This window comes from Homo sapiens, chromosome 10, assembly GCF_000001405.40.
Source record: "Homo sapiens chromosome 10, GRCh38.p14 Primary Assembly".
NCBI lineage: Eukaryota > Metazoa > Chordata > Mammalia > Primates > Hominidae > Homo > Homo sapiens.
This window is the reverse complement of record NC_000010.11, coordinates 106,063,627-106,072,695: the sequence shown is the minus strand read 5'-3', so window position 1 is coordinate 106,072,695 and position 9,069 is coordinate 106,063,627. Positions and strand designations below refer to the sequence as shown.

Here is a 9,069-nt window from a genome sequence, read left to right as displayed (position 1 = left end):
GGCTCATTGATTAGCCCTCTCTACCTGCCTGGAATGCCATCTCTCATATCTTGGAATGTCAAAGGCATAAGAAACGGTAGTTCAATCTATATGCAGGTAATGGTGAGTGTTCCACTGTAATTAGAATATGGGTGATAAAAGTGTAGCTGCAAAAGTACCTAGGAAAGCATGCCGCATAATTGGAAACAGTTTACTTTAATTGTATTCTTACAACAACCCTATAAATCAGCATAGACACAATTCTCCTATTTTGTCAATGAGGAACTAGATAATTAAAGAGTTTAAACCTAACTCCACTGTGGTAGTTGATTAAGCAATTTAAGTCTGTTTTCTATGGAACTGAAGTCAGCAAGGCTAGTAATCAGGACAGGAAGATAGACACAAAGTGACAGATTCAGGAACAAGTCTGAAACCATGAGAGCTGTATCTGTTTCTCACCTTCTATAAACAGGTGCCCTTCACCACAGAGATTCACACACATTGTCCTGGGATTCAGATAAGCTAACAAAATAGAGTGGAAGCTGGTTGAACTGTGGGCCTATCAACTGCCTCACTTTACAAGGTAAGCAGTAGATTAGTGAAAATGTGTGATCTGTAATAGTATCTGCCTTTAGTGACCTTCATAGCATAAAACACATCTACTCCTTCACTCATGCCTTCCAAATTCCATGCACATTGCTCTTGTGGCCAACGCTAACTCAGAGCCACAAAGCGAAGGGAATTCTGAAAATGTAATCTCAGCTTAGTTAAATTGATTTGTATGAAGCCACTGCAGCTCCAGAGACTCTGGCTACTGTTAGATTCCTTTGAAGAGTGGTTTTTGTTCTAGAAGGAAATTGATGTGACTGAACTTTAACTTCATACTCTATCTCCTGGTCTGTGGGCTGCCACTAAAATCTCCACATAGCTTTTCTCAATTGACCTACTGGGGTCTTGCTGACACCTGTGTTGCTCAGCTGTCCAATTTGAGCAGATTTTATATACATTCCTTCTGTGTTACCCCTTTTTCCTGGATTTCTCCACTAACTTTTGTCTGCCAGCTTTTATCACTGAACTCTGTCCTGTGAAACCTCAGGCCAGTAGCTGCCCTGAGCCACATACATTTTCAGAACTGTCTTACCAGGTACAATCCTGTCTTGCAGGGATAGTGCTGTGGATTGAATGTTTCTACTATTTCCGCAAAATATATATGTTGGAGCCCCAAATCCCAATGTGATGCTATTTGGGGGAAGGGGCTTTGGGAAGCAATTATGTTTAGATGGGCTCATGAAAGTGGAACCCTTGTGAGGTAATGAGTGTCTTTATAAGAAGAGGCAACTTTTTTATCAGAGCTAACTTTCTTCTCCAAAGTGCACAAAGAAGAGATCATGTGAACACACAGCAAGACGGTGGCCATCTACAAGCCAAAAGAAGAAGCCTCAGAATAAAATCCACCTTGAACTTGGGCTTCTCAGCCTCCAGCACTGTGAGAAATAAAAGTCTATTTTTAAGCCACTCAGTCTTTGGGATTTTGTTATGGTAGCTGAAGCAGACTAAGACAGGTAGTCTTCACTCCAGTTTCTAATACTTGCTATTCTCCAGTGCCTGCAAAAATAGTCCTATGAATGTTTTGCTACATTATATAATTGTTACCTGCATAAGTCTTAGAGTGATAGAGCTATTCCACTATTATTAGAAGTCAGAGGTTTATTTTTCTTGATAAGTGTATTATTAACCGAAAAAAGTTGTTTCAAAAATATATGAAATATATGATATTCTTTAAAATTTTCTGAATAAACACGTTTATATATGCAGAGAAACAAACATCTGGAAAGTTCTGCAGCAAAACATTAAGAGTGACTTTGTTACTGTTCTGAGCCTGTGAGTATTGTTTTTCTTCTGTTTGCCCATCATATTTTCTGTTTTCTTACATTGATCATGAAATATTGTGTAATTATATAAGTGAAAACTCCATTTCAACCCCAAATTTTCTTAAGCTGATTAGCAACTTCAGCAAAGTTTCAGGATACAAAATTAATGTGCAAAAATCATAAGCATTCCTATACATCAACAATAGACAAGCAGAGGGCCAAATCATGAATGAACCCCCATTCACAATTGCACAAAGAGAATAAAATACCTAGGAATACAAGTAACAAGAAAAGTGAAGGACCTATTCAAGGGGAACTACAAACCACTGCTTAAGGAAGTCAGAGAGGATACAAGCAAATGGAAAAACATTCCAGGCTCATGGATAGGAATAATCAATACCATGAAAAAGGCCGTACTTTCCAAATAATTTATAGATTCAATGCTATTTCCCTTAAACTACCACTGACATTCTTCACAGAATTAGAAAAAAACTACTTTAAAATTCATATGGAACCCAAAAAAGAGTCTGTATCGCCCAGACAATCTTAAGCATAAAAAACAAAGCTGTAGACATCATGCTACCTGACTTAAAACTATACTACAAGGCTACAGTAACCAAGGCAGGATAGTACTGGTACAAAAACAGACACATAGACCAATGTAACAGAATACAGATCTCAGAAGTAAGACTGCACATCTACAATCATCTGATCTTCAACAAACCTGACCAAAAAAAAAAAAAAAAAACAACAAACAAAAAAATCAAGCAATGGAGAAAGGATTCCCTATTTAATAAACGGTGCTGGAAAAACTGGCTAGCCATATGCAGAAAATTGAAACTGGACCCCTTCCTTGTACCTTATACCAAAAATAACTCAAGATCAATTAAAGACTTAAATGTAAAATTCAAAACTCTAAAAACCCTAGAAGAAAATCTAGGCAGTAGTATTCAGGACATAGGCACAGGCAAAAATTTCATGATGAAAACATCAAAAGCAATTACAACAAAAGCAAAAATTGACAAATGAGATCTAATTAAACTAAGGAGCTTCTGCACAGCAAAATAAACTATCATCGGAGGGAGCAGACATATTACAGAATAGGAGAAAATGTTTGCAATCTATCCATCTAACAAAAGTCTAAATGTCCAAAATCTACAAGGAACATAAACAAATTTACAAGAAAAAACCAAACAGTCCTATTAAAAAGTGGGCAAAGGACATGAACAGACACTTCTCAAAGCATAATATATGAAGAAAAGCTCAACATCACTGATCATTAGAGAAATGCTTATCAAAACCACAATGAGATACCATCTGATGCCAGTCAGAATGATGATTATTAAAAAGTCAAGAAACAACAGATGCTGCCGAGGCTGTGGAGAAATAGAAATGCTTTTACACTGTTGATAGGAAAGTAAATTAGTTCAACCATTGTGGAAGATAGTGTTGCTATTCCTCAAAGACCTAGAACAAGAAATACCATTTGACTGAGCAATCCCATTACTGGGTGTACACCCAAGGGATATAATCATTCTGTTATAAAGATACATGCACATGTATGTTCACTGCAGCACTATTCACAACAGAAAAGACATGGAATCAACCCAAATGCCCATCAGTAATAGACTGGATAAAGAAAATGTAGCTCATATGCAACATGGAATACTATGCAGCCATAAAAAGGAATGAGATCATGTTCTTTGCAGGGACACGGATGAAGCTGGAAGCCATTATCCTCAGCAAATTAACACAGAAACAGAAAACCAAACACCACATGATCTCACTTATAAGTGGGAGCTGAACAATGGGAACACATGGACACAGGGAGGGGAACAACACACACTGGTGCCTGCCATGCAGGGGGTGAGTGGTGTGTGAACAGAGAGCATCAGGCAAATAGCCAATACATGCAGGGCTTAATACCTAGGTGATGAGTTGATAGGTGCAGCAAACCACCATGGAACCCAATTACCTATGTAACAAACCTGCACATCCTGCACATATATCCCAGAACTTAAATTTTTTAAAAAGAAAGTCGAGTCAGCCTGAATCTTTTATTCTGTGATCATGAAAATGTGTCTTTAGGTATTAAATAATCCTTCTCAAATCAGTTTACTATAACAATGTACTTTGGTGTTTTTAATTTTCTTCTGAAAAACTAGAATTTGTTTTTTAAATAAATGATCCATGACCTTCCTCTCTCTTTTCTTCTTTATTTTTCTTTCCTATATCCTTTATTTTATCTTCCTTTTTCTGCCCTTCTTCCCAATATTTACCAAGTTTATACTCCATGCTAAATATTATTCTACACTCTGGAGATCCAGAGTTGAATAAACTCTAGTCTCTCAGGAAATCTGTTTGGGAAGATAGACAAGTGCATATTGCAGCATGGTGTGATGACATTATGGACAGAACAGGGGGCTGAGGAAAGGGTAGGAGAGGCACTGGGCCTTCCAACAAAATGAGGAGAGTAAAGGCTTGCTGCTCCTAGATGGCTTACATGAGAAAAGATATGAAAAGCACAGTCAGGTAATTTATCTTCTTTCTCTCCCTTATAGATTCATCTTTTTGTGTACTCCAATTCTCTATTACTTTGAAGACTGTCTTATTAATATTTACTTAGTTTTCAAGTTGACATATAAAATTATTATGTATTCATCATATGCAACATGATGTTTATAAGTATATATACATTGTGGAATGGTTAACCCTAGCTAATTAACAAATGCATCACCTCCCATGGTTACCATTTTTGTTATGAGACACTTAACATCCATCGTCTTAGCATTTTACAAGAATACAATATGTCAACATTAACTACAGTCAGCACAGATCTCTTGAACTTATTTCTCCTATCTAACTATTAATATGTATTTTTGACCAACATCACCCCTACCTCCCATCCCTGCTAACCACCCAGTCTCTGGTAAGCCACCACTGTATTGTCCATTTCTATGACATCAACTTTTAAGATTCCACGTATGAGTGAGATCATGCAGTATATGTATTTCTGTGCCTTGCTTATTTAGCTTTTCATAATATTCTGCAGATTTATTCAAGTTGTTGCAAACAACAGAATTTCATTCTTTTTATGGTTAAATATTATTCCACTATGATTATATACTACATTTTCTTTATCCATTCATCCATTGATGGACTCTTTAGTTGAATCCATATCTTGGCTATTCTGAATAGCACTGCAATAAACGTAAGAGTGCAGATATCTCTTCAACATACTGATTTCATTTCCTTTGGATATACACCCAGCATTGCTGGATCATATGGTAGGCAGTTCTATTTTTAATTTTTTGTGAAACTTTCATACTGTTTTTCAGAATAGCTTTATTCATTTAAATTCCTACCAATAGTGTCTAAGTGTTGTCATTTCTCCACATCCTCCCCAACACTTATCTCTTGCCTTTTTTATAATAGCCATCCTAATAGGAGTGAAATGATACCTCATTGTGGTTTTGATTTGCATCTCCCTAATGATTAGTGATGTTGAATATTTTTTCACATACCTTTGGCCATTTGTATGTCTTCTTTTGAAAAATGTCTATTCAAGGCCTTTGCTCATTTTTAATTGATTAATTTGATTTCTTGCTATTGAGTTGTTAACCCCTTATCAGGTGTATTGTATACAAATATTTTCTCCTATTCTGTAGGTTATCTTTTCATTTTGTTGATGGTTTCCTTTGTTCTGCAGAGGCTTTTTAGTTTAAGGTAATCCCACTTATCTATTTTTGCATTTGTTGCCTATCCAGAAAATCATCTTAAATTATTATTTTACATTTTAAGTTCTCTTTCAGCAGATAGAGACAGAGAACTTTTATATATTAAGCATTTTTTTTTACCATAATCATAATTTATATTACTGAGGCATTCCTGTTTACTTTAAATGTGCTACGAGAGCCCTTATAGATACTTAAAGGGTTGATTCAGTCATGACTAGGACAATAGTGACAGAATCACACTTATCTTACAATCTAGATCATCTACATAAAGGGTGAGGGACATGGGTGGCTCTTAGCTGATAATAGATTTGTACGTATCAAAATGACTTCAGCATTAGCATTTGGATCAAGCTTCATTTAAAGAGACATAAAAATAAAGTTTTGCACAGTAGTTTTACACCACTTTTGATGAAGCTGATTGATCTCCTACATTAGATAGAGAAAACTAAAATCCCCCAGGGAAACACTTACAACAATAAAAAGCGAGGCAAAATTAATACACCCTGTCTATGGGTCCTGCATATTTCATTTCTTTCATAGTTCATATCATGATTGTTGAAAACTTAGTGACTTTACACATATTTGAAGTAAAACTCCCCTCTGACTTCACTGGGTAAAATGTGCATGATAACAAATGCATTTACCCTTTAAATGAACCCAATTCACTGTAAGTGATGGGTGCTTTAAAACTAATGATGGACAGGCCTTGGGAATCTGGGGAGGTTGGTACAAGTTTCAACACTTTATCTGAAGCTAATGTGAGCTATTTGATTCAGCTTATGAGATCAAAAGTCTCATAGGAGTAGGAATTAGCACACTCAGCAACCTCACAATATTATAGAAGTCAACATTTGTTGGGCAGATGAATTTTTGGTGTCAAACATAAAAAATAGGCTTTCTTTTCTGTAACCTACTGTAGAGATCCATGTGGAATCATAAATCTGAAATATTGTGAATTTTCAAAAGAGAATGTCAAAGATTAATTACTTCTAAGAGACTAGCACTGAGCTTTTGCATGATTCACACTGACAGGGAGAAGTTTATCCCCTGTAATTTGAAAGGGAAAAAAATGTGTATTTCTTTTCATATAGTCAGAAGTAGAAAACCTTGAAAGATAAAGTCATCATCCTGTATGATTTAAAATTTTTAAAATATTCATCTTTTCAAAGAATAAATATAGGTATGCCTTTTTATCCTCACATGCATTATTTAAATTAAGATATGAAAAACTCAACTAATTCAGTTTTTATTCTTCATTTTGTAAATTCAGTAAATACTGGTTTCTCTGTAATGCTACCTTCCACATTGCCAATACCACAAACCAGATACAGTCTAACTCTGACAAATTGAACCAACAGAAAAAGGTTACATTTATTTCAGCATCTCAGTGCCCCTAGGCTTTCCTGTACTGTGAATTAGGCAAAACAGGGAAGCAAACAGGATATAAAAGAAGTTAAGCTCAATTCCAGCCAAGAAAATCTATCCTCATATTAACTAGGAAGTTATTCAATATTGCTTATTCTCTAGGCATGAGGGTGAGTTTGCTGTGATGCCACCAAGCTCCTTGTCCTGGTTTATTCCTAAATTTAGTTTGTTGTGACATTATGAGCTTTACAGGATTTCTAGGGGTCTTTGGACCAAGTCTGGACTAGCTTATAAGGCAACAAGGTACTTGGTGGGCCCTAGAGGAAGGCAGGAGACTCCCATCCCGCACAGTATAATGTTGACCAACTGTGAGTTCATTCAGAAAACATCCTGCATTTTGAAGAGTTATTCAATGCAGATAGGGAGCAAAGAGGGAGGGAACAAAGCTGAGGAAAATAATCAGGCTTGACTTTGCCATTGCTCAGTAACGGTTTTTGGAAAATGTTTTTGAGGTCTTTAATGGGGAAACGAAGGGAAAGAAAAAATAGAGCAGAGAAGGAGGAAGCAGGTGTAGTGATGAAGGGCTCAGACTTTGGAAGAATGCAGCTGGAGCTTCACTGCCTGCCCCATCACTCTACTTTTGTGGCTTCAGACACATCTCATAACTAAGTTCCAGAATTTTATTTTGCATCTGTACACATGGTACATTTATAGTGTCTATCTCGTATGGTTATTGTTATATTTAAAATGAAATAACAATAGTACTAACAAAGCCGGACTACAGCATTTAATGATTTTACATTTAACATGGTTATCATAGTCCCTGGCAAATATTACCTTTAACATCATTATATTTATTAGGGTGCTACTCTGATTTGTATATCAGCTCTGCTTTTATCTTTGCAGTGTTGGTTAGATGACTCTCCCTAATTCTCCAGAACTTTGTTTCCCCATCTAAGAGACGGCACGGATGGATCAAGTAGGCTCCAGGGCACTATCAAACTCTAACAATCTATAACTTGATCTTGTTTAAAGACTGCACTTTTGAGAGTCACCAGCTATGCACGCATATTCTTCCGGAATTCCAAATTGGGAGACATTATTCAGGGAATAGAAATGGGAAAAAAAATCCAAGGAAATAATTACAGAAAGAACATAATGATAGAAAGGGCACCTAAAATCCCTGCCTATTTCCAAAGGCTGTTTTTACACTTATGCATTCCTCATGAGACTGCCCCAAATGCAATTTAAGGAAACACTGAATTGGATTCAGAAAGTTGAGCGTTTTATGAATTTTTGTCTCTAAGTGACATATGCCTTTCTACAAAATCAGAAAATAGATTTGTTCAGTGCATGGAGTATTACTGATGCAATTGGGTAAGGCTGGCAAAATGTCTTTGGTTTTAGTTGACGACACTGAATAAATCTCCTGTCAGGAATAAATTGAGTATTCATGGAAGCTTCAATGTACCTATGAACACAGACTAGCACTGAAATTTGAGAGCTTGATCAGGTTTTCTTATATAGATTCAAAGCATTATGAAAATGGACTTAAATGTACAGGAAAATGCAACCACTGAAACCTAACAAAACCGTGGTTTGGTTTCTAAGACAACGGCCTCTGTCTAGATAAAAAAGGGGAACCCATTGGATTTGTGTGTGTACATTAGCTGGTGTGTCATGCTATAACACAAAAGTGTACTATGAAGCCTCATTTCCTTTAGATCTCATATTAAACTTAGTTTGTATGAGAAATCTGTTACTAGAGTGGAAGTTGCTTCTGCCTGTAATATTTGGAGAAGCTGCAAAATAGATTTACAAATTTAAAGCTTCTCCAAATACTACAGGCAGAAGCAACTTCCACTCTAGTAACAAGGTAGCTCATTGGATTTAATAGCTGTCATTATACTTGAAACAATTACATTTTTTTCCGAATCCCACAAAATGACCTAAATCTCAGAGAGAAAGAAGACTAAATAAAGAAACTGAAAAATTAAGGGGATTTCTGTTCTTTCTTGTCCAAAGTGACAGAAATCCCAGTGCATTTGATTTGATTACATTTATAGAGAATGATACGGTGGTGAAAATTTCATCTTTACAGTTTCCTAGCAAATAGG

General features: G+C 36.1%; 1 long non-coding RNA gene across 1 annotated transcript; it reads left to right on the top strand.

The window, feature by feature from the left end:
• The first annotated feature begins 477 nt into the window (after window positions 1-477).
• LOC124902553 (uncharacterized) lies at window positions 478-1,494 on the top strand. Its single transcript, XR_007062380.1, has 2 exons — window positions 478-562; window positions 1,351-1,494. It is a non-coding gene; the product is annotated as an uncharacterized LOC124902553 (long non-coding RNA).
• The last annotated feature ends 7,575 nt before the right edge of the window (window positions 1,495-9,069 follow it).